This window comes from Homo sapiens, chromosome 1 (assembly GCF_000001405.40).
Source record: "Homo sapiens chromosome 1, GRCh38.p14 Primary Assembly".
NCBI lineage: Eukaryota > Metazoa > Chordata > Mammalia > Primates > Hominidae > Homo > Homo sapiens.
In genome coordinates, this window is record NC_000001.11 from 32,398,099 (window position 1) to 32,423,687 (window position 25,589).

The window sequence follows — 25,589 nt, forward strand, 5'->3', positions numbered from 1 at the left end:
TTCAAGCGATTCTCCTGCCTCAGCCTCCCAAGTAGCTGGGATTACAGGTGCCCACCACCATGCTCTGCTAATTTTTGTATTTTTAGTGGAGACAGGTTTTCACCATGTTAGTCAGGCTGGTCTTGAACTCCTGACCTTGGGCGATCCACCCACCTCGTCCTCCCAAAGTGCCAGGATTACAGGTATGAGCCACCATACCCAGCCCTGGCTAATTTTTTGAGGTTGAGGCTGCAGTGAGCTGTGACCATGCCACTACATTACTGCCTGTGCAATGGAGAGACCTTGTCTTTAAAACAAAGAAAAACATGTGTGTGTGTGTGTGTATATATATATATATGTATATGTATATACATGCCAGATTACAGCCTTCCTCTGCCCAAAGTTCTGCAATGTCCTCTTATTTCACTCAGAGAAAAAGCCAATAAGTCCTCACAGTCTCCTTTAAGGCCCCGTATAGTTGATCTGACCTCACATTACTGGCCCCCTTAGTCACTCTGCTCCAGACACATTGGCTACTTTGATATTCCCTGAAAATTCCCGGGACTCTCCTGACTTGGGGCCTTTCAACTTGCTGTTCCTTTTGTTTAGACTGCACTTACCTCCAGATATTTATGTGCTTCTAACTTTCACCTCATTCAGATCTTTACTTGAATATAATCTTCTTACTCACCCTGACCACATTATTTAAAATCACAAGTTGCATAACAAGCACCCCCATTTCTCTTCTCTGACATATTGTATATTATACTTTGTTTAAAAAATTGTTTGCCTCCTTCAGACTAGAAATGCAACCTCAATGAAGGCAGGATTTTTGTCTGTCTTGTTCACTTGTCTACGGCTAGCACCTACAACAGTGTTTGGTACATAATAGACACTCAATATTTGTTCAGTGAATGAAAGAATAAATGCAAGGAGAGTGAGGACAAAGACAGGACTAATTTAGAGCAATCTGGAATAGCTAAAAAGAAAAAGGAAAAGAGAGGATGGACGTGAGGCTGTAAAGGTCATTAACATCTCGATTCTTGAGAGCCTTGAATGCAGGACTTAAAATTCATGGACAGAGGAGAGTCACCAAAGGTTTGGAATAAGGAAATGATTTGTGTTGTGAAGATGATGTGATCAAATGATTGAATGCTACTGTTAACAGATCTAACGGTGCCATTGGGGTGAGCACTTTATACAGTGTACCTTCCCAAAAGCTCAATGAGGTGGGAACTATTTTTAATCTACATTTTATAAATGAAGAAGGTGACCAGGCACGGTGACTCATGTAATCCCAGCATTTTGGGAGGCTGAGATGGAAGGATTGCTTGAGCCCAGAAGTTTGAGACCAGTATGGGCAACATAATGGCACCCTATCTCTATTATTATTATTATTATTTTGAGACAGTTTCACTGTGTCGCCCAGGCTGGAGTGCGGTGGTGCAATCTTGGCTTACTGCGACCTCAGCCTCCCAGGTTCAAGCGATTCTCCTGCCTCAACCTCCTGAGTAGCTGGGATTACAGGCGTGCACCACCACACCCAGCTAATTTTTGTATTTTTAGTAGAGACAGGGTTTCGCCATGTTGGCCTGGCTGGTCTTGAACTGCTGACCTCAGGTGATCCGCCTGCCTCAGCCTCCCAAAGTGCTGGGATTACAGGCATGAGCCACTGTGCCCGGCCTCTATTATTTTTTTTTAAATAAAAGTGAAAAAGCTAAGATTCTGAGATATGGGGTGACTTTCTCAAGGTAACACAGCTAGGAAATGGCAGAACTCGGATTTGAACCCAAGGCTGTCTAATAAAATCAAGCTTCTGTGCATTTCATGCTAGTCTTAACTTCTTCCAACCTTATGTCCTGCCTCCCCACCCAGATGATAGCTGCAGGCATCCTGTCCTTCGTTATCTTCACCTTGTCTCATTCCTCACCCCCAGGCCCAGCAGAGTGCTCGCCCATGATGTCCCTAGTGACTGTGGATTCAGTGGGACCCTTTGCTTGGGTTTCTTTGGTCTTCCTTATCTGTTCACCCCAGTACCTTGACCGTTGGCTCCTTTCACTGCCATAACCTCTGGCATCAAACATATTCATCCTTTTTTTTTTTTTTTTTTTGAGGCAGGTCTCACTCTGTCACCCCAGCTGGACTGCACTAGCATGATCATGGCTCACTGCAGCCTCAGCCTTCTAGGCTCAAGTGATCCTCCTGCCTCAGCCTCCTGAGTAGCTGGGACCACAGGCATGTGCCACCATGCCTAATTTAATTTTTTTTTTTTTTGTAGAGATGGAGTCTTGCTATGTTGCCTAGGCTGGTCTACGAACCCCTAGGATCTAGCGATCCACCTGCTTTGGCTTTCCAAAGTATTGGGATTACAGGCATAAACCACTGTGCCCGGCCAATGTCTTCATCCTTAACATTGGGATACTAATTCTGGTTGTTGTAATGACTAAAGAAAATAAATAAAACACCTAGCACATTGCAAGGCATAAAGTCCTCATGTAGGGATTATGATTGTCTTACCTCCTTACCCCTGTCCTCAGAGCCTCATACAATGCTAGGCGCTGGTAGAGGGCTAATGGACATCTGTTGAGTTAAACAGTATGTTGAAAGAACACTGGTTTGGGAGTCAGCAGAGCTAGATTTTAATACTGGTTTATGGGCAGTTGTCACTTTTTCTCTCTGAAATTCAGTTTTTTCACTGTCCTTGGGGCCTCTACAGTCTCCTGCAGCTCTTAGGCAAAGTATGAATGCAGGTAAATCCCACACCCTCAGACCCTCCTTTGACTCAAATCCCCCCTCTGACACTGCTGGACCCCTTTTGGCAGATGATTTTTTTCCTACTCCCCCTACCCACCCCATTAGAATTGGCAGGTGATTCTTATCCCAGGATCCTGGCTTTTGCTCCCAAGGAGCCCTGACACCCAGGTGCCACCAGATGGTGCTGTGGACTCATTCTTCACGGGAAGCTGGCTCCCGGGCTCCCCGGCTCCCTATCTCCCCGGCTCCTAGGAGAGGCCTTCTGGCTCCTCTGGACAGGGTGGGGTTCCTCCGTGGAAGGCTGCTAGGCCTGGGATAATCCTGGGAGGTGACTCAAGCCTTTCAGAAATTTCCAAGGCCCAAGCCCGCCCTCGGTTTGGCGTGCAGATTCCAGCATAGAGTTGGCAGGAGGACTGGCTGCGTAATTTGTAGAACCCAGTGTAAGACCAAAATGCCTAAGTTACTGATGCAGGCAGCACAGGGAATGCCTAAAAGCCCATGGACTGGTTCTAGTTCAGCCCTCTAGAGCTGATTGTTAACATTTCAGGAATTTTGGCCGGGTGTGGTGGCTCACGCCTGTAGTCTCAGCTACCTGGGAGGCTGAGGCAGCAGAATCACTTCAGCCTGAGAGGCAGAGGTTGCAGTGAGCAGGGATCGAGCCACTGCACTCCACCCTGGGTGACAGAGGGAGACCCTGTCTCAAAAAAAAAAAAAAAGAAAGAAAAAGAAAAAAAGGAATTTTAAAAGCTGGTTGTTGAACACGGACATTATTTAATTAAATTTTATAAACTTACCATTAAATAAGTTATAGAGCTGGGTGTGGTGGCTCACACCTATAATCGCAACTTTTCAGGCGGCTGAAGCAGGATGATCGCTTGAGCCCAGGAGTTCAAGGTTACAGCGAGGTATGATTACACTATTGTACTCCAGCCTGGGTGACAGAGCAAGAGCTCATTTCTAAAAAATAAATAAATAAAATAAAAACAAAGGTAATAAATAACCCAAACTCATCACTATGTAATTACTTTTATATATTTCACTATCATTTATGCTCACTTTACTTTTTTTGGCTGGGTACAGGGGACTTTATTGATGGTACATGACAAAGTGCGGTCTCATAGTCCCCTCCCATTCTTCAGGGAGCCTGGCATGGAAACAGTGTTCAGGAGGGGGAGATTCTCAGTGTGGTGGGGGACTGAGTTTGGCAGGGACTCCCCAGCAGCTGAGGGCCTCTCTTCTTCTCGTGCTGTCACTGGGGCTGGTGGTTCAGAGGGCCCTTACTCCTAGGAGGCCATGTAGACCATAAGGTATATCGTTCTGTTGCTGTAGCCAAATTCATTGTCATATCAGGAAATGAGCTTGACAAAGTGGTCTTTGAGGGCAATGCCATTCCCAGCATTGAAGGTGGAAAAGGTGGGTGTCTCTGTTAAAGTTGGAGGAGGCAACCTGGTGCTCTGTGTAGCTCAGGAGGCCCTTGAGGGTGGCCTCCGATGCCAGTTTCACCACCTTCTTGATGTCATCATATTTGGGCAGCTCTCTCCAGATGGCAGATCAGGTCTACAACCCACATGTTGGCAGTGGAGACATGGAAGGCCATGCCAGTGGGCTTTCTGTTAAGCTCAGGGATGGCCTTGCCCACAGCCTTGGTAGAGTGGGTAAATGCAGGGATGATGTCCTGGAGAGTCCTGTGGCCATCACGCCACAGTTTCCCAGAGAGGCCATCCACAGTCTTCTGGGTGGCAATATTGGCACCAACTGTGGCCATGAGTCCCTCCATGATGCCAAAGTTGTCATGGATGACCTTGGGCAGGGCAGCTAAACAATTGGCAGTACAGGAAGCGTTGCTGACAATCACAAGGTTGTTTTCATACTTCTCAAGGTTCACGGCCATCACAAACATGGGGGCATCAACAGAGAGAGCAGATATGACCCTTTTGGTTGCACCCTCTAAGTGAGCCCCAGCCTTCTCCAAGGCAGTGAAGATGCCAGTGGACTTCATAACATAATCAGCGTCAGGACCAGCCCATTTGATTTTGATGGGATTTTGTTCCTGGAAGATGGTGATGGGATTTCCATTGGTGACAAACTTCTTGTTCTTAGCCTTGATGGTGCCTTGGAACTTGTCATGGGTGGAGTCATACTAGAACATGTAGACCATGGAGTTGACCTGAATGAAGTGGTCATAGATGGTGACACTATCCACTTTGCTAGAGTTAAAAGCAGCCCTGGTAAACAGGCTTCCAATATGGTCCCATCTATTTACTCTGGCCTTCACTCACACCATGATGTCTCAAGGCTGCTGCTGGTGCTACACGAGATGTGTCTGTATGTTGTATGGCAAGAGCAGAGAGCTCATCTGTGTTCTTGAAGTAACTTACATTTATTGTATCTATATGGTGGAAATACTATATAATAGTGTACTTTTTTTTTTTTTTGAGACGGAGTTTCACTTTTGTTGCCCAGGCTGGAGGGCAGTGGCACTATCTCGGTTCACTGCAACCTCTGCCTCCCGGGTTCAAGCGATTCTTTTGCCTCCCCCTCCCGAGTAGCTGGGGTTACAGGTGCATGCCACCATGCCTGGCTAATTTTTTTGTATTTTTAGTAGAGACAGAGTTTCACCATGTTGGTCAGGCTGGTCTTGAACTCCTGACCTCAGGTGATCCACCTGCCTCGGCCTCCCAAAGTGCTGGGATTACAGGCATGAGCCAGCATGCCCGGCCTAATAGGAGATATCTCTCCTCAACTCTGCATTCAGTGATTGATGTCACATTGGCACCTTAAAATTGATGAAGGTGGGAGTGTTTAATCATTAAAATCCACAAACAATACAAATCATGCCCCTTCTTCCGCCAAGCCAATTGTTAAACTTTTACCAGAATACACGGGTCCTGATTGTACTCCTAATGTCCTATGTGATTTTGAGCAAAGCCCTGTTCTCCCCAGACTCCCATATATTTACGTATCACTTTATAATTGACAAAAGGGGAGCATCCTTTGTGTGCTAGGCACTGTTGTCTCATAGAATTCTTAGAACAACCAAAGGGGTGGAATATTGTAGCCCAAAGAGCAAAGAAGAACTTTGTCTCCAGGGTGGCTCTGTTACCAGAGTTCCCAAAAGATGGCACTGTGGACTGGCTCAGAGGAAATATAGCAAAATATGTAATATATATTATATAGATTATATATATATATATTTTGAGATGGAGTTTTGCTCTTGTTGCCCAGGCTGGAGTGCAATGGCGCGATCTAGGCTCACTGCAAACTCTGCCTCCTGGGTTCAAGCGATTCTCCTGCCTCAGCCTCCTGAGTGGCTGGGATTACTCATCACATGCATCACATGGCATGTGCCATCACACCCGGCAATATATATATATTTTAAGACAGGGTCTCACTCTGTCTCCCAGGCTGAAGTGTAGTGGCACGATCTCGGCTCAATGCAACCTCTGCCTCCTGGGCTCAAGCCACCCTCCCACTTCAGCCTCCCAAGTAGCTGGGACCACAGGCACACGCCACCATCTGGCTAATTTTTGTATTTTTATAGATACAGGGTTTTGCCATGTTGCCTAGGCTGATCTTGAACTCCTGGGCTTAAGCAGTCCACCCGCCTCAGCCTCCCAAAGTGCTAAACTTACAGGCGTGAGCCACCGCATTCAGTCAATAATAATATTCTTCTGGGCACCTCCAGCATTGTTTTTGGGACTCACACACCATAAGCCTCCTTCTTGGCTATTTCTGGGAGTGGGGAAAGATTTAGCTCCCTCTGGCTTCTGTGTAAGGGAGGTGGGAGGTGGGAAGTGGAATATTCTTACTACAACAGTGAGGGTTTTTTCCCAAAAGGGAGACTGGGCTTGGATGCAGATAGCCCGAACATCAACTGTCCTGTTCCCCATTTGCTGCCAAACACATATACTCTGTGTTTTGAACTTAGACTTGCTTCCCAATTAGCATAAAGTAGCTACCACTTCTGTAATTAAAAACACTGTTTTAATTACTCTCCAAAGAAGGCATCCAAAGCCTTGACGACTGTCCTCCGGCTCTCAGAATTCCTGCTTAGGAATCTGCAATCCATCACTGAATGGTGAAGTTAATCTCCCTATAAAACCACCTAGAGACGATAGTGGCAGAAAGGGAGAAGAAAGAGAAGCAAAAGTATTTGAAATATGTAAATATCTACATCAAGGAAAGAAATTCAAGTAGAGACTATAATCCGCCCCCCCCCCATATAAAGCAGTCTAAGGCTGATCTTGTATTTATGACTTTCCTTCTTTACTATCTATTCTAGGTTCCATCTGCCTTCAGTCAGCAACAGATGTTCAAGTTATTTAGCCACAGGAGAGACCCACCCCTTCATTCCTGAGCTATCTGTGGCCTAGAAGATCCTTTTGTATAGAATTGCAGTAGTTTTGCCGTGACTTTGATCACAGAATATTGCAGTAGTTGTAGGATCCTTAGGAAATATAGCAAAGTCTATCACTAAACCTCCCTGCCTCCACTCAGTGGTAACAACCTATTTCCGCTTGGTAACTAGAGTATAAAATTCTAGAAAATGGCCGGGCGTGGTGGCTCACGCCTGTAATCCCAGCACTTTGGGAGGCCGAGGTGGGCGGATCGCGAGGTCAGGAGATCGAGACCATCCCGGCTAAAACGGTGAAACCCCGTCTCTACTAAAAATACAAAAAAATTAGCCGGGCGTAGTGGCGGGCGCCTATAGTCCCAGCTACTTGGGAGGCTGAGGCAGGAGAATGGCGTGAACCCGGGAGGCGGAGCTTGCAGTGAGCCGAGATCCCGCCACTGCACTCCAGCCTGGGCGACAGAGCGAGACTCCGTCTCAAAAAAAAAAAAAAAAAATTCTAGAAAATATCTTGATTTTTTTTTTTTTTTTGGCCTGTCTGTTCAGTGGCAGGAGATACTCAAAAAGGTTGAGTGGCAATTTCAACTTCCAATTTGTTGAAAATTTGTGTCACGTGATGGAGGCATTTCTCTCTTAGACACTAAAAGCTTTTAACATACCTCCCCTCCCTACAGTCATAGAGTCAAGAAGCAAATAACTTATGAGTGAGTCAAAAAGTTTCACTGTGGGCTGGGCTCAGTGGCTCACACCTGTAATCGCAGCACTTTGGGAGGCTGAGGCAGATGGATCGCTTGAGGCCAGGAGTTTGAGACTAGCCTGGGCAACATGGCAAAACCTTGTCTCTAAAAAATACCAAAAAAAAGTTAGCCAGGCATAGTGGCTCACACCTGTGGTGCTAGCTGAGGCAGGAGAATCAGTTGAGCCCGGGAAGTGAAGGTTGCAGTGAGCCAAGATTGCACCACTGCACTCTACCCTGGGTGACAGAGGGAGACCCTGTCTCCAAAAAAAAAAAAAAGTCTAAGTGTGAAAGAAACCACTCCTACACACAGCTCTTGGTTTCTGAACTATGTATCTGGCTAAGGAAGAAATGGTACACTGGTTCAGAGCATATACTGCATCCTTTTAACAGTGCTGTATCTCACAGGGTGCTATCTAACAGCTGGTAGATTACCTGGACCTTCAGTAGGTTTTGCCACCACTCTAGAAGGCTGGCTGATGGAGCTCAGGTTAGTGAATCCTCTGGTGTCTGCTCACTCTCACTTCTTTTCTTGTGAAGTGAATTTCATGGTCAGAAACAATATTGTGTGGGACACTAAGACTGTGTATTAAGTCCATAGATGGAGGTTCTGAGAGAAGAATGAGAAGCAGGGAAAGGAAATTCAAACCCAGAGTAAGCACTGTCACCGGTGAGACAAATTGTTCCTTCTTCACAAGGGACATGGTCCTATGTAATTGATCTGCCACCAGATAGTTGGTTTGTTCCCTCAAGGTATGACATCACATCAAGAGTCCAGGACTGTTTGCTCCTGTAGGCAAACAGGGCATCAGTAGGTCAGTAGTGGTGGTTGCCAGGACGGCCTTGGACAGGGATGTCCCTGTTCTTGGGCCTATGCATAATTTCCACTCCTGTCACTATCGTCCTTTGTCCATGAACCCATTGAACAAGAACTGGACTGGCTGGTGGAAAAGGCCATCTAGTTAATATCCACAGAACAGATCTGCTGATTAGTGAAAGCTTCCTGCACAGCGGGGGCCCATGGTGAGCAATCATTTGGCACACCTGCTGTCTCATGATCTGTGACCATTCCAGGAAATCCACCTTTCCCAAACCTCTTTGTCATTAACTTGCAATCTTTTAAGATGCTGAGCTACTCACACTATTTGTCATTGGCTCGTGAACTGGTATAGATCCTGACCTCAGGCCATTTTTCCTACCAGGCAAAGTGGACAATGAAATGCACTGCTTACAGTTCTGCCTATTGAGGAATTTCCTTCTCCAGCATCCTTTGGGGCCATATAACCATTTTCATAAAACTGTTTCTTGCTCTTTCAGAATCTGCCATCTGAAAACCAGGCTCTCATATAATTTTTTCTTTACAGTGGAGCCTTGTCACAATCATTTACATAGTCATGAATATTCTAATGGCTGGGTCTATTTCAGCGGGTCTATCCTTGTTTCTCTCTCCCAAACTTTTTTTGTTGTTGTTGAGACAGGATCTCACTCTGTTGCCCAGGCTGGAGTGCAGAGGTGTCATCTCTGCTCACTGCAACCTCCACCTCCCAGGTTCAAGTGATTTTTGTGCTCCCACATCCTGAGTAGCTGGAATTACAGGCGTGACCACCAAGCCTGGCTAATTTTTGTGTTTTTTGGTAGACACAAAGGTTTCGCCATGTTGGCCAGGCTGGTCTAGAATTCCTGACCTCAAGTGATCTGCCTGCCTCGGCCTCCCAAAATGCTGGGATTACAGGCATGAGCCACCGTGCCCATCCTCTCCTAAACTTTTTATTCTCTCATCTTGCTTCCTTCAGTAACCATGGCCTGTGATTCAATGTTGATTCTGATTTCAAGACATCTCTGCCTCGAGACAGTGGAAAACCACATGCCTTGCTCCAACTGCCACCAAGAAGAGTTCCTTTCTCTGCTATCCTTCAGAGTGACCTTGCTCAGGCCATGACAGTCCATTTCTGGCTCATACCAGCACATTGTACAGAGCCATGCATAACAGTTCACACTCGTTTCCTCCCATGTCGCCTGGGTTGGAGTCTCTGGAGCAGTGTGCAGGAATGGGTACTGGGAGTAAGAACAGCCTGCTCATTGCACCTTCAGGGCTGTTTAGGCCACATTCTCTATGGGCCACTTTCACTTGAGAATTACTGAGTATTGGCGATCAGAAAACACCCAATTCATGATGGGCAGCTCAGGTTGCAACGTCACCTAGTGCTCTATGGTCAAGCATTCAGCCTACTAGAACTATTAGGAAAATCCTAGTAGCTACTACTAGGGCAAGGATGTCATCGAAGAGTACTTCAAATGCGATAATGAACAAATAAAACTTTGGTTCATGTTCTTTAAAAAAAAAAAAGTAGCTACTAGCTACGAGTAGCTACTACTACTAAAACTCAGGAGCTATTTCTCAAAAGAAAAATACTCAGTATGAATGAGGAACGGCTAACAGCTTTGCCTCCAAACTTTGAGGGCCTCTATGGTGATCCCTCTACCAATGTTTGCAATAGGCTCAGTATGGCATCATTTCCCTCAGACGCTTTTTTTTTTTTTTTGAGGCAGAGTTTCACTCTTAGTTGCCCAGGCTGGAGTGCAATGGCACGATCTCGGCTCACTGCACCTTCCGCCTCCCAGGTTCAAGCAATTCTCCTGCCTCAGCCCCCTGAGTAGCTGGGATTACAGGCACCCGCCACCATGCCCAGCTAATTTTGTATTTTTAATAGAGATGGGGTTTCTCCATCTTGGTCAGGCTGGTCTTGAATTCCTGACCTCAGGTGATCCATCTGCCTCGGCCTCCTAAAGTGCTGGGATTACAGGTGTAAGCCACCGCACCTGGCCTTCCCTCAGACACTTTGACTGTGGATCTGTTCAGCTGTCAGGGCCAAATTGCTGAGCCTGGACCAGTTGGAGAGGCATCCTCTCTAACTCTGTGCCTTACTCAAACCTGGAGACTGGCAAATAGTTAGAAGGAGTTGGCTGGGTGCGGTGGCTCATGCCTATAATTCCAGCACTTTGGGAAGCCACGGCGGGCTGATTGCTTGAGGCCAAGAGTTCAAGACCAGCCTGGCCAACATGGCAAAACCATGTCTTTGCTAAAAATAAAAGTAAAAAAATTATTAAAAAAAAAAAAAGAAGTAGTGTACCTAGTAATGTTTGTATGTTGCCCGCAAAATCCAAAGAGACCTATCAAGCACTGGGGTTCCTTCTTAGAGGAAGGAAGACTAAAGTGCAGCAACCTGTCCTTTGCTCTGGAGGGAATGTCCTGGTGTGTCTCAGACTGTGTGACTTCCAAAATTTTAATGAAATGGCAGGCTGCTATATTTTTGTTGGATTTATCTCCCACCCTTTTATACCCAATGTTTTCTACTTTTGGGGTTCTGTCAGCACGATGCCACCAAAATAGTGGAACAGCATGACAGCCTGTAGGATGGAATGACAAATACTTGGACTGACTCTTGACCTCTATGCCACCCTCCTTCTATTGGATGCATTGTAAAGTGAAATACCACATTTCCCAGAGTCCCTTGCAGCTAAGGTTCTGCTTGTGAACTAGGTTCCTTCAAGTAGGCACATCCATGTGAGATTTGGGAAAGCAGACATGAGGCAGAAGTCACCTTTCTGCAGAAGTGGCTGCTGGCAGGAAACGCCTGTTTTGAATACATTGAGTTGTTTGTTTTCTGCACTGAACTGACTGATACAGATGATGGCAGAGCCAAAATTTCTACAGACCAAATTGGGGCACAGAGCAGAAGTGTTGGATTTTCTTTGAGTAAAGATTATAAAGCAAATTGCTTTTTTTTTTTTTTTTTTGAGAGGGAGTCTCACTCTGTCACCCAAGCTGGAGTGGAGTGGCACACATGATCTTGGCTCACTGAAACTTCTGCCAGCCTCAGCCTCCCAAAGTGCTAGGATTACAGGTGTGAGCCACCATGCCTGGCCATAAAGCAAATTGCTGCTGCTTCTTTTTTTTTTTTTTTTTTCCATTGAGATGGAGTTTCGGTCTGTCATTCAGGCTGGAGTGCAATGGCGCGATCTTGGCTCACTGCAACCTCCACCTCCAGGGTTCAAGCAATTCCCCTGCCTCAGCCTCCCAAGTAGATGGGATTACAGGCACCCGCCACCATGCCTGGCTAATTTTTTGTATTTTTAGTAGAAACAAGGTTTCACCATGTTGGCCAGGCTGGTCTCGAACTACTGGCCTCAAATGATCCACCTGCCTTAGCCTCCCAAAGTGCTGGGATTACAAGCATGAGGCACCATGCCTGGCCACAAATTGCTTCTTATATCCTCTGTTATATTGGAGAAAAATGCATTTGCTTGATCAAATTCTGGGAGTCGTACTGATGTACTCCCCCAAAAGCCACATCTGAAATAGCAGTGGCAACTGAGGCTGCCATTTGATTCAGTTTTCAATATTCCTCCACCTTCTTGAAGACCATCTGTCTCTTTATCTAAACTGAAGACATGGATATGGATGTGACAGAAGTCACCGCCTCTGCATATCTGAGGTCTTTGATGGTGGCATTAAACTTTGCAATGCTTTCAGGATTTTTTATTTTATTTTTATTTAAAAAATTCTTTTAGTTGCTCTCAGCATACCAGAATTTTTTATTTTAATTTACATTTTGGTGGGAATGAAAAACTTTGATGAGTTCTACTTTGTTTTTCTTTTTTGAGATAGAGTCTCACTCTGTCACCCAGGCTGGAGTGCAGTGGCATGATCTCAGCTTACTGCAACCTCTGCCTCCCAGGTTCAAGCAATTCCCCTGCTTCGGCCTCCTGAGTAGCTGGGATTACAGGCGTGCACCACCATGCCCAGCTAATTTTTGTATTTTTAGTAGAGACAGGGTTTTACCATGCTGCCCATGCTGGTTTCAAATTCCTGGCCTCAAGCGATCTGCCAGCCTCAGCCTCTTAAAGTGTTGAGAGTTTACAGGCATGAGCCACTACATCCAGCTTGTTTTATTTATTTATTTAGAGGCAGAGTTTCACTCTCTCACTCAGGCTGAAGTACAGTGGTGTGATCTCAGCTCACTGCAATCTCTGCCCCTGGGTTCAAGCAATTCTCCTGCCTCAGCCTCCCGAGTAGCTTGGATTACGGGCACCTGCCACTTGGCTAATATTTGTATTTTTAGTAGAGATGGGGTTGCCCCATGTTGGCCAGGCTGGTCTCGAACTCCTGACCCCAGGTGATCTGCCTGCTTCAGCCTCCCAAAGTGCTAAGATTACAGGCATGAGCCACCACGCCCAGCCTGTTCTTCTTATAATAAAAGCTATTAACCTATTCTTATAATAAACCTATTCTATTTAACCTATGTTAAGTTATATAATAACCTATTCTTATAATAAAAGCTATTAACCTATGGTCAGTAGGCTAATGCAGGTTTCTGCCAGTATTTTAGGAAATTCCTTACAGTTATACAAACAAGGACAAAACTATCAGTTTTGGGGACTAGATCCACCCTAAAGTGGACTTTGGTCAAAACTCCATTTGTCACCTAAATCCCCATGCCTCCTGTTGTCTCTTGGTACTTAGCCTCTCAGTTGACCATCTGCCATCTGCCCTGTACTGCCAGAGCTAGACACCAGCCAACAACACTTCCCAGACTCCACTGCTAGCTGGGTCCCAGTTACATTGTGCCAATGGGAGGTGCTTGGTTATATTTGAAGGTGAGAAGAAGGGAGAAATTCTTAGGCTTTAGGAGGTGACTTACCTTTAGCAGTGGTGGCTCTTCCAGCACTGTCAGTAGTGAAAGTGGGGTTGTTGGCTTCACCCCCAGGGTGGTTTCCTGGGCTCTGGAAAATGTCACATTTTACTCTTAGCTCCTTTGGCATTTCCAACATCTTTGTAAGCAAGTCCCTGCATTATATACATTTCTGCTTGAAATATGTTGAATGTTCTCTGTTTTTCTTATCAACACTTAATCATACATTTCCATAAGCCCATACTCTGACTGCTGAAGCCCAGAGGCATTGTGGGTCTCCAGGAATCTGTGGTTAGTTGTCTGATTGTCCCCAAGAGGTTTGTGTATTTATCCGTTGGGAAAGAACAGGAAAAAATGTTCATAGTATGAACTTGTGTTGCTGTTGCTGGATCTTTCCTTAAGCATCCTATACTCTTCCTTTAATCAATGGTCTGTGCACCTGTGAATTGATTCATGTATGGGAATTGCGTGAAAGATGAAAACTGTCTATTGTGTCAAAATAGACCTCTGTTTACTGGACAAGGAGGTATTTTTGTTGTTTGTCTTGATATAAAAACTAAGTGGGAGGCCATGTGTGGTGGCTCATGCCTGTAATCCTAGCACTTTGGGAAGCCAAGGCAGGTGGATCGCTTGAGGTCAGGAGTTCAAGACCAGCCTGGCCAACAAGGTGAAACCCCATCTCTACCAAAAATACAAAAAATTAGCCAGGTGTGTTGGCACATGACTGTAATGCCAGTTACTCGGGAGGCTGAGGCAGGAGAATCGCCTGATCCCAGGAGATGGAGGTTGCAGTGAGCCAAGATTGCACCACTGCACTCAAGCCTGGGTGACAGAGCAAGACTCTGACTCAAAAAACAAAAGAAAACATTAAGTGGGAGTTGGGCACGGTGGCTCATGCCTGTAATCTCAGCACTTTGGGAGGCTGAGGTGAGTGGATTGCTTGAGCCCAGGAGCTCGAGACCAGCTTGGGCAACACAGTGAAATCCCATCTCTACAAAAAGTACAAAAATTTGCCAGGGATGATGGTGCGTGCCTGTAGTCCCAACTACTTGGGAGGCTGATATGGGAGGATCACTTGAGCTCGGGAGGTTGAGGCTGTAATGAGTGAGCCATGATTGCACCACTGCATTCCCGCCTAGGTGACAGAGTGAGACCCTGTCTCAAAAAAAATAAAAAAGTGGGAACTTGGTAGGCCGTTCATAAGCAGTTGTTTCCAAAGATTTCTGTAGGTCTCACCACTCTGTTTTCATGTCAACCCTGTTGCTTACTGGTAACCCTTCCTCCTTTGTATTTGATGGGTAACTGTTGATACAGGAGTTAAGAAGAAATTACTTAGGCAGATAGTAAGGGGATGGGAGTCCTTGGTAAGTCTTCTCTTTTTAATGAAAAGCAGCCCCAAATCATTTTCTAACAAAGAGCAGCCTGAAAGCTGGGCGCTTGCACAGGTGAATGCAGGCAGGAACTAAGGACTAGACATGTTCAAGATGATGGCTCCATCCTCCCTTTTCTGCCAGCCATGGGTACTGTAAAGGAGTGGATAAGATAGTGCTGATCAACTGGAAAGTCCATTTGCATAAGAAGATTAAGGTGAGGTGACCAGTCTTCCCTGTGCCCTATGTAAACCCATACCTGATCGAACCAATCTGTGAGCCCTACATAAATCAGACACCACGACCTCAAACTGTATATAAAACTCAGCTTATTTGCCACCAGCCAGTCCTTTTCCACTTGGTCATTTTCTGCTAGGTTCCTTCTGCTTGGAGACCCCTTCCTCTGTGCAGGAAGCTGTTTCTCTCTCTTTTCTTCTACCTATTAAACTTCTGCTCCTAAACTCCTTGTGTTTGTCTGTGTCCTAAATTTTTTGGCCCACAACAAAGAACCCAAGGGTATATACCCCAGAAAACGAAGCTGCTTCATAATGGGGGCCTGTCTGGGATACCAAAGTACAACATTCATCGAAACAGTGAGTAAAGGAGTGGACTCCAACTCTGTCTTTTCATTCTGAGGCTCTCAGTCTCCATTTTAGACCTTTCTTGAAGGACAGCCATGGTGTGGCGCTGGAAGAAGTCCTGAGGCAACTGAGGGCTTCTGGCTGGGGCTACCCCCCGGTGTTATCCAAAGGCTTCTGGACTGACCCCTGCTTCCAACCACCCCAGTGGGGTGTCGGCACCAGGATCTCCAACTTTCCTTCATAATTTCCTCCTTCCTTGACCACATTTGTCATATCTCTTATCCTCTCTGTGTATGCAGTGTGCAGGAAGTTTTACACTTCAGGGAAGTAATCTTGTTTGGCAAGATCAGGGAATGTCATAGTAACTGGGGATATAGCTCAGGGGAAGGTGTCTTTGTGATTTTCTAGGAACAGAGGGTTCCTCCCCAACAGTGAGCATGTGTCTCTGCGCTTGGTCTGGCGAGCACGGCATTTCCAGGTCTCTCTCTGTCCTTGGTCTGGAGAACATATGGCATGTCAATGTCACTCTGTCCTTGGTCTAGAGAGCACATGGCGTTTCAAGGTAAACAGCGCCACCTAGTGGAATAGGGATCCTCTCCATGAGGCACATTGTCCTTCACTGAAACACCCTAGCCTCCCAATTCTCTCCCCTTTTTGTGCCTCTCTACTAAAAACCAGGCTTCACGCTACTTCTGTAAATGGGAAAACTCTGCCTTCAACAATTAGGGGTAAAATATCCTCCAAAACCAAATTTTAGTGTCAATACTGTCCCATCAACAGTAAAAGGGCCATTCAATACCTACATTCTTTTAAGGCACCTATTCTGCCTCCAATTAGAGTGGTACTTAATTGGTAAGGGGATTTTAAGTTCAGAAGTTAACGAGAACCATTCTCTAAGGGTAAACGCTTCAGTATGGGCCATAATAGCAGGATATAGAGTTCAATTTAGCACTCCCACTCCATTAAAGGGTCCTTGCCCAACTATTACATAGCTTTTCTTGGGATCCAATTTTTGGGGAGCCAGGTAGATCACACAAATCCAGGAAGTCAAAGGGAAATCACAGGCAGAGGACTAGAGTCACTTGGGTGAGCGTGACTAGCCCCAATCGCTTAGTTCTTCTGGTTCCATGGCTGGAGGTCACGCCTGCAACCATGGGTGGCATGTTCAACAAGGTGCTGGGACCAAGGAACCACGGAGGGAAAACATCAGGGGGACACCCCCACTGTCTTCGTCTCCACCCTGGGTCACACCAAAAGGAAGGAGACTAAAAGGATGCCTTTTTCTCACTTCTCTTTCTAGATGGGTACCATCTTCAGCCTGCACTCCCCTGGAATGCATTCTGAAGCACTGGGACTCCTTTCACCCTGAAACTTTAAAGAAAAAGTGGCTCATTTTCTTTTGCACAAGGGCATGGCCTTTTTATTAGACCTTTGCAAGTGTTACAAAATTAACCCAGCCCTTTTAGCAATCACATTTGGCATGACCAAAGAGAATAATGCCCCCAAATTAGAGAAGCAACTTCTGGGGGATCCATCTGAGGATCTCCCTTATTTGGGGCCCTTTCAAGTTCCCTTCTCATTACAGGACCTTAGGCAAATAAAGAGAGACTTAGGCCAATTTTCTGACAACCCCAATAGGTATATAGAAGCTTTCCAAAATGTAACTTAGGTATTTGACCTCTCATGGAGGGGTGTTATGCTTCTCCTAAGCCAAACCCTAACCACAGCTGAGAGCCAGCCAGCTCTGTAGGCAGCAGAGAAATTTGGAGATGAGGAATATGTCTCCCATAGTAGGCCTAAAAGGAAAAGAGAAAATACGAAAGGCAAAAAAAAAAAAAACGGGAAACACCATTCCCAATAGGAAGAGAGGAAATACCTCTTGACAACCCTAACTGGAACACCCAGACTTTTCTACAGTGTTTTTCCTTCTTTCACAGTTTATTTATTTTTATTATTTGTTATTTATTTTTTTTGAGATTGAGTTTCACTCTTGTTGCCCAGGCTGGAGTGAAGTGGCGTGATCTCAGCTCACTGCAACCTCTGCCTCCTGGGTTCAAGCGATTCTTCTGTCTCAACCTCCTGAGTGGCTAGGATTACAGGCATGCACCACCACGTCCAGCTGATATTTTGTATTTTTAGTAGAGATGGGGTTTCACCATGTTGGCCAGGCTGGTCTCAAACTCCTGACCTCAGGTGATCTGCCCACCTCGACCCGCCAAAGTACTGGGATTACAGGCATGAGCCACTGTACCTGGCCTACTTTCACAGTTTAAAATGGCTCTTTCATAATGTTCTTCCAAACTGGGAAAAGTTAGTTTCTCCAAACCTTAAAATGCTTGGCTTAGAGTTGAGCTAGGGGAAGGGAACCCAGAAGCCTGACACGCTGGCAAAAGGGTAGAAGTTTTTTCTAACAGTCAAGCTTTTGGCTTTTCTCTCCCTATGCAAACCAGCGAAAGGGATAATAAGGTTCATTGTTTATATTCTCTGTAAAGTTTTAATTAATCAAAAAAAATCGTGAGGTTGGTCTTAAGCTGTAGCCATTCTGATGTGCTTTGTGTGTCTTTCCATATGGTTCTGTTAAGAGAAAGGGTACCTTAGGTTCGGATACAGACCGTGGACCTCATAAGCCTGCTGTTCAAGGCAGCCCAACAGAATGGTCAGTAATAAACTTGGCTACAGGTCTCTATCTTGTTTCATGTCCTTGGGATCATGACCCATAACCACATGGCAGTACTTTGTTTTAGTTGCCACCATTTTACATGATGGCTGTCTTCTTATGCTAAATCAGTTCCTGAGTGAGGGCCACAAAATCAGATAAGCCAGTTTGTCAACCTGGATGGTGCCAGCTGATCCATCCAGGGGAGGGTTTAAAAATGTCTTCAGCACTGATCTTTTTTTTTTTTTTTTTTAAGGTGGAGTCTCGCTCTGTCACCCAGGCTGGAGTGCAGTGGCGCCATCTCGGCTCACTGCAAGCTCTACCTCCCGGGTTCACGCCATTCTCCTACCTCAGCCTCCTGAGTAGCTGGGACTACAGGCGCCTGCCACCACGCCCGGTTAATTTTTTTTTTTGTTTGTATTTTTAGTAGAGATGGGGTTTCACCATGTTAGCCAGGATGGTCTTGATCTCCTGACCTCATGATCTGCCCGCCTCAGCCTCCCAAAGTGCCAGGATTACAGGTGTGAGCCACCGCACCCAGCCAGCACCGATCTTGAGAGCAGTTTAGGGAGAGTCAAAATCTTGTAGGCTCCAGCTGTGTGACTTCTAGGCCATGGTTTTTAATCTTGTGGCTAGTTTCCTGGTCTGGTACCCAGGCAAGAAGGAAGTAAATCTTAAGAAGGGGCTGTCATCATCTTTATTTTAGACTATAAACTCTAAACCAGGCTCCTCCCAAAGTTGGTTTGGTCTACGCCCAGGGATAAGCAAGGAAAGCTTGGGGGCTGGAAACAAAATGGAGTTGGTTGGGTTGGATCTCTTTCACTATCGTGGTCACAATTTTGAAATGACAGTTTCAAAAACCGCCTATCACCCCTTTAAAAATACCTTGTACACATGCACTCATGGTTAAGTCATAACCTAATTAAGGCTTGTCGATTTCACCTGTGAGGTTACTTTTTGTAAATTTCAAAAGCCAAAAATCTTAACTGCTTGAGGTGGCTAATGTCAAGTTACAAGGGATTTAAAAGGATTTTGTTAAAGAGTACTCAGGTTAATTAAAAGTGGATATTCAAGTTATAGGTATATTTTAATGGCCTTTATGTTTTTCTCTTTTTGGATCTTGTTTTTCTGGAAAAAGGTTTTTTCCTTCTCAGTTGACTGAATTATTAGTCTACATTTTTTATCTTGCCACTCGTAATGCACAATGAGAGGCTCTAAGATAACTTCTGGTAGCATGGGATTCCTTGGGAAAACCAGAGGAGGCACCACAGACCCTGTTTTGGGAGAAAAACCTCGTTTTCCCCATGAAACCCCAGGAACTAGAAGCAGATATTTCTCTCTCAAAATCAAAGGCTTTATTTTTGCATTATGTTTTGCATTATGTTATCTGACAGTTTTGAATTTTGGGAGTATCAAATTACATTAGGAGAGAGGTTTGGTGTGTAATAACTAGGTAGCAAATACACTTTAAGGGATGGCTAATAGTAGTTATAAATCAGAGAAGCATGCTCTTGGTCACCTGAAAGATACAGAAACATTCCCCCTATCCCCACAACGAGAGATGAGACTCCCATGGGAGATGGGCTAATTACAAAATAAGTTGATTGGCTTTGGGTTGCTTTGCAATGAAATGCACAGTAGAAGCACTGCACTGTCTTCTCCCATAGTATCTCTCCTATTTGGGGGATCCAATATCAAATGACACCCTTAATTTTGAGGATCTGTCTTTGCCTTCAGCCGTGCCTGCTTATTATGCCCTAGAAATGCATGCCTTCCTGGCCCTGTTCCTCCAAGGGCTCCACCCTGAAACCAATAATTTAATTAAGAAACCGGCAAATAAAAAATCTAACAAGTGCTGAATCTTGTGTCTGTGTCGCTATATATGTTTTGTGTGTAATGTCTATAAAAAGAGCTCTAATTGATTGGCTGAAAGAAAAATAAGGGCTTAAATCAAATATTTTTTAGTTCACGTGACTTTAGTCTTTAAGAAATTAGTCATAAGGATTATTGGTAAAATGCAAATAGGTGGTCTAATACATACAACTTAGATACTAGGTTTGCTAAATGTTCCAAGGTTGTATACTGCCTGCTTTGCAGATGGGTAAGGCCTGGGACATGTGGAGTTAGATGCTGGAAAGAGTCAGACCTTATCTGCACTTCTGTCTGGGTCCTAGGCTCCACACTTGGTACATAATTAAAATTGCTTACTTACCAGGTTTTTCACCAAAAGTAAAAGTTGCTAAGAGTTAACAGTGCAGCATGTATTTGAGATCACTAAACAGTTTTACATGCAAGGTGTATAAAAACAGTAAAATGTGTTTTTTAGTAAAGATTATAAGAAAGCATGGAAATGTAAATTTTGCCCTGGTATGAGGGATTATGTTAAATTTGATAAGAGAGCTAGAGGTTTAAGCAAGTTATAGAAAGATTGTAAAAAGTAATCTTGCAAAAAATGTATAAAAATTAACTGAATTCAAAAGGATATTATATGGTTTTTTCATAAATTGAACATTGAAATAAAAGCACAGCAAGGTTGTCTTAAGACACTAATCTGCCCTTTAGCAAAAGGGGTTATAAAGGGTTTGTAAAGATTTCACCTTGTGGTCAAATTGACCACCTCATGGTCAATAGATAGAATTGTCTATAAGGTTTCATTTAAACACATTGGGGTTAACATTAACAAACTAATGCAAGGTTAAAATTTGTCTTTAAGCAGAATTTTTATGTAATAGTAAAGGCTAATGAATGGTTTTTGCCTTCTGAGTCATCATTTTGGCAAAATAAATAATTTATGGCATTCTAGAATTCTATTTCATAACATCAAGTGTTTTAAACCTCTAACATTTAACAGGCATCCCAAAATCAAACTTCAAGTTTCAAAATTGTCTTTCCTGATGCCTGGCTTTCTGGATGGTTCACAGTTCCCCTGAATAATCCAGAGAAGAGGTAAACAGGATTATTTGACATGTTTAGTCACATGAGATTGCCAAAATGATGTCTAAGCTTCTTTTTTTTTTTTTCTTTTTTTGAGATGGTGTCTCACTCTGTCACCCAGGCTGGAGTGCAGTGGTGCAATCTCTGCTCACTGCAAGCTCTGCCTCCCGGGTTCACACCATTCTGCTGCCTCAGCCTCCCGAGTAGCTGGGACTACAGGTGCCCGCCACCATACCTGGCTAATTTTTTGTATTTTTAGTAGAGACAGGGTTTCACCGTGTTAGCCAGGATGGTCTCGATCTCCTGACCTCGTGATCTACCCACCTTGGCCTCCCAAAGTGCTGGGATTACAGGCATGAGCCCCTGCGCCTGGCGGTTTTTTTTTTTTTTTTTTTTTTGAGATGGAGTTTTGCTTTTGTTGCCCAGGCTGGAGTGCAACGGCACGATCTCAGCTCACTGCAACCTCCGCCTCCCGGGTTCAAGCCTTTCTCCTACCCTCAGCCTCCCGAGTAGCTGAGATTACAGGCATGTGCCACTGCACCTGGCTAATTTTTTGTATTTTTAATAGAGACGAGGTTTCTCCACGTTGGTCAGGCTGGTCTCGAACTCCCAACCTCAGGTTATCTGCCCACCTTGGCCTCCCAAAGTGCTGGGGTTACAGGCCTGAGCCACCATGCCCAGCCAATGTCCAATCTTCTTTAAGTTATATTTTGGTGAATTATACTAATACATGTTCCAAAATCATATGAGATTTCTAAAATTCTAATGTATGAGTATATGCTATCAATCGTAATTAAGGTTGTTATGTTAAGTTATTGTAAACCACAAATATAACTAAACTTCTTTGTCAGTCATGTTTTTAACTGTAACTACCCTGGAAATTTTGTCATTCACAGATAATTTTTGTCTTGCTTTGTTCCTTCTCAAAAGATGGGTTATAATCAAGCTATAAGACTTTAACAGGTGTTCTCAAAGGCAGGTTTTTAATAGCTTTGAAGATTGTAACATTGTAATAGAGAAAGAATGTATGGGACTCATGAATAACTGAAATGTTCACGAATATCAAGCAAAACAAGAGCTAACTAAATGGACTGCACTCAGAAAGTTAAAGCAACCTTTTTGACTTTTGCTTGAAATATTGCTGATCCTTGTTTGGTTTTTCAGAGTCAAGGAAATGTATTTTGAACGACTTATGGCCTTATATAATTGAGTAAGGCATACTCTTGTGAACAAAATTTGGAGCATGTTTCTGTCTGCCTGGTTCCTCTAGAATTTGGAAACTATCTGCACGTATTCTTAACTTATGACAATATAGTTGTTTGCATCGGTGCGATAAGAATCCATTTTTCTTTTGCAACAGGACACAATTGGAAAACCTGGTTATTTTACCAAGGCTTTGACTGGAAGGGTATGCTTTCCTTTAAGGAGTCAATCTTGACTTGCTGAGCTGATAAAAGCCCCATGGGGAGAACAAGGCCTCATACCTTGTCTGCACAGTTCCCACACAGGGTTCTTAACCTGTGGTCAGTAAAGAATGTCACTTTCTAACAGGTCCAGGAGCTCCAAGTTTATCTTGGGACCTTATGAGAAGAGGATCACCCAACTCACAGGTATTTGAGGATACAAACCCATGGCTGGGCTCAGCTTTAAAAGGTCTTATCTGAGATTCCTTGTGGAACAGAGTTCCATCAAAACCAGTCCAAAAGGCTTATGTTGAAATAACTATTCTTGCTGCACTTTATGCAAATAACCAGGCCAAGTATAAAACTAAAGTTTATTCTATGAATAACACAGTCCTATGATAATTTGTTTTTACCAAAAATGAGGACTAGAGAGAGAAATTATGCTCCCAAGCTTATCACATATTTGTCATTAAATCCTAGTCTAATTGTTTTTAAGCTTTTTGCCTATGTTTTAGACTAACCCTGCTTATTCCTGTGGATCAAGTGGTGATCTTCTGCAGCTTGGAAGAAGCAGAAAGGGATGGGTAATGTGAATATTTGGATCAATACGCTGGTTCTGGGCAATTATCCTGCAAATTCTGCCAGGTAATGAAAGTGAGTAGGGTCCCATAACCCAGAGGTTTCTTTGTTTGGGAAAATAAAACCAAGGAACTTCATAGACCCCCAAAGTGAAATTCTGTATGTTGGTAAGTAAAATTTTAGATGGAAATAATCTAGTACATCACCTTTGCAGAAATTGCTATAGTCATTCTACTAACTGCAGTAGAGCTATACACAGTAGCACCTTCTAACTGAAATATTGGACAGAGAGTTTCCATCGTTGTAGTATTTTGTTTAATTATTATCCTTATAACAGGGATAATAGTTACCAACAAAAAGGAAGCATGAAAGTTTTACTATCACCGAGTCTGCTAGGACTTTTTATTGGGTTTAGTGATACATCACACCCTTTAGCTCCTACAATATCAGCCATGGCCCATTTGTACAAAAAGACTAATTCTTGGGTCTGTCCTGAGCAATTTGCTCAGTTCAATAACGCTAAGGAAACTGCACTATAGTAGCAATGGTCCCCAACCTACTATTTTTAAATTGCACTGACATGGAATTGCACTGACATGAGAATATCCTCATGATGACTCTTGAATTGGAAAAACTGGCTATCAGCTTCCCAGTTTGCACAACTAATCAAGAAATAATGTGGGGTCACTGGCACAAATGATGAGGCATCTCTGGGAAGTTTAACTTCCTATCTGTCCAATCTCTTGCCCCACATCATCTGGGGACATCCCTAACCTAGGTCCTTTTTAGAAAGTGCACTATCTTGGAAGCCAGAGCTGCAGCCAGGTCAAGCTGGACTGGTGATATGGAGCCCCCGTACCAGTAAACCCACAAGCAGGTCCATGAGATCCAGTCTCACATGGGATGCCTGGAGATGGCAGACAAGCAGTTTTCACACTTAGTAGAAAATGAAATCCAAGCAAGCACAGACCAGATATTCAGGGGTCTAGAACATCTGGAGATTTTGTCTAGCAAGGAGCCCCCTAACAAAAGGCAGAATGCCAAACTTCAGGTTGACCGGTTAAAGTATGATGTTCAGCACCTGCAGACTGCTCTCAGAAACTTCCAGCATTGACACTATACAAGGGAGCAGCAGGAGAGACAGCAAGAAGAGCTTTTCAAAACTTCACCACTAACAATTCTCAATTGCAATCCTCTGACAATGTTGAAGATTCGTATCTGTTTAAATTGCCGGCATTGCCGGGCGCAGTGGCTCACGCTTGTAATCCCAGCACTTTGGGAGGCCGAGGCGGGCAGATCACCTGAGGTCAGGAGTTCGAGACCAGCCTGACCAACATGGAGAAACCCCATCTCTACTAAAAATACAAAATTAGCTGGGCATGGTGATGCATGCCTGTAATCCCAGCTACTCGGGAGGCTGAGGCAGGAGAATCGCTTGAACCTGGGAGGCAGAGGTTGCGGTGAGCCGAGATTGCGCCATTGCACTCCAGCCTGGGCAACAAGAGCATAACTCCATCTCAGAAAAAAAAAAAAAATTGCCAGGATTAAAATATCTAGACATTGGAACAACACAAATCCCATTACAACAATTGAAAATATCCTCATGATGACTCTTAAATTGGAAAAACTAGCTATCAGCTTCCCAGTTTGCACAATTAATCAAGAAATAATGTGGGGTCACTGGCACAAATGATGAGGCATCTCTAGGAAGTTTAACTTCCTATCTGTCCAATCTCTTGAACAGAAATGCCAGTTAGTTACTTCGTTTTGTTTGTTTGTTTGTTTTTTGAGACAGAGTCTCACTCTGCTGCCCAGGCTGGAGTGCAGTGGCACGATCTCGGCTCACTGCAACCTCTGCCTCCCAGGTTCCAGCAATTCACCTGCCTCAGCCTCCCGAGTAGCTAGGATTACAGGTGCCCACATCTACACCTGGCTAATTTTTGTAGTATTAGTAGAGATGGGGTTTCACCATGTTGGCCAGGCTAGTCTTGAACTCCTGACCTCAGGTGATCTACCTGCCTTGGCCTCCCAACATACTGGGATTACTGTCATGAGCCACTGTGCCCAGCCAGTTAATTACTTTGAATGTGTCTCTAAAACCTGAGTTGGGGCCTTCTGTAGGACTGGAGATGGTTCAACCTTCTCAGGTGGCTCTGATGGCTGAGCTGGTATCTCCCATTGCAGTAGAGGACTGACCTCTTCAGTGGACTTTGGAGGACCACCTGAGGCTTCCTGCTGGCTTGTAGATGGTTCAACCTCCTTAGGGGGCTCTGGTGGCTCAGCTGGGAACTCTTGCAGGACTGGAGAAGGTTCTACTTCCTTAGGGGGATCTGGAGTCTGAGCTGTGGCCTCTTGCTGGGCTGGAGATTCAATCCGTTCAAGAGAATCCAGAGGTGGGGAAGGGGTATAAGGCTGGGTTAGAGAAAAGTCAGCCTGCTCAGTGGGAATTGGAGGGTTGTCCTGCTGGAATGGAGAAGGTTCAACCTCGATAGTGACTGCTATAGGTATGGTAAGCTCCATATCCACATTTTTAACTGTGGTATTAGTTGTGAG

The 25,589-nt window shown here is 44.5% G+C and overlaps 1 pseudogene, besides 2 other annotated features; it reads right to left on the bottom strand.

Moving 5' to 3' along the window:
- Positions 2,695-2,814: an enhancer, noted in NCBI's record as "active region_689". NCBI's record gives its function as "activates an Ori minimal core promoter by ATAC-STARR-seq in GM12878 lymphoblastoid cells {active_cell/tissue: GM12878}" and the evidence as "EXISTENCE:reporter gene assay evidence [ECO:0000049][PMID:35858748]".
- GAPDHP20 (glyceraldehyde 3 phosphate dehydrogenase pseudogene 20) lies at positions 3,801-5,085 on the bottom strand (annotated as a pseudogene).
- Positions 8,028-8,107: an enhancer, noted in NCBI's record as "active region_690". NCBI's record gives its function as "activates an Ori minimal core promoter by ATAC-STARR-seq in GM12878 lymphoblastoid cells {active_cell/tissue: GM12878}" and the evidence as "EXISTENCE:reporter gene assay evidence [ECO:0000049][PMID:35858748]".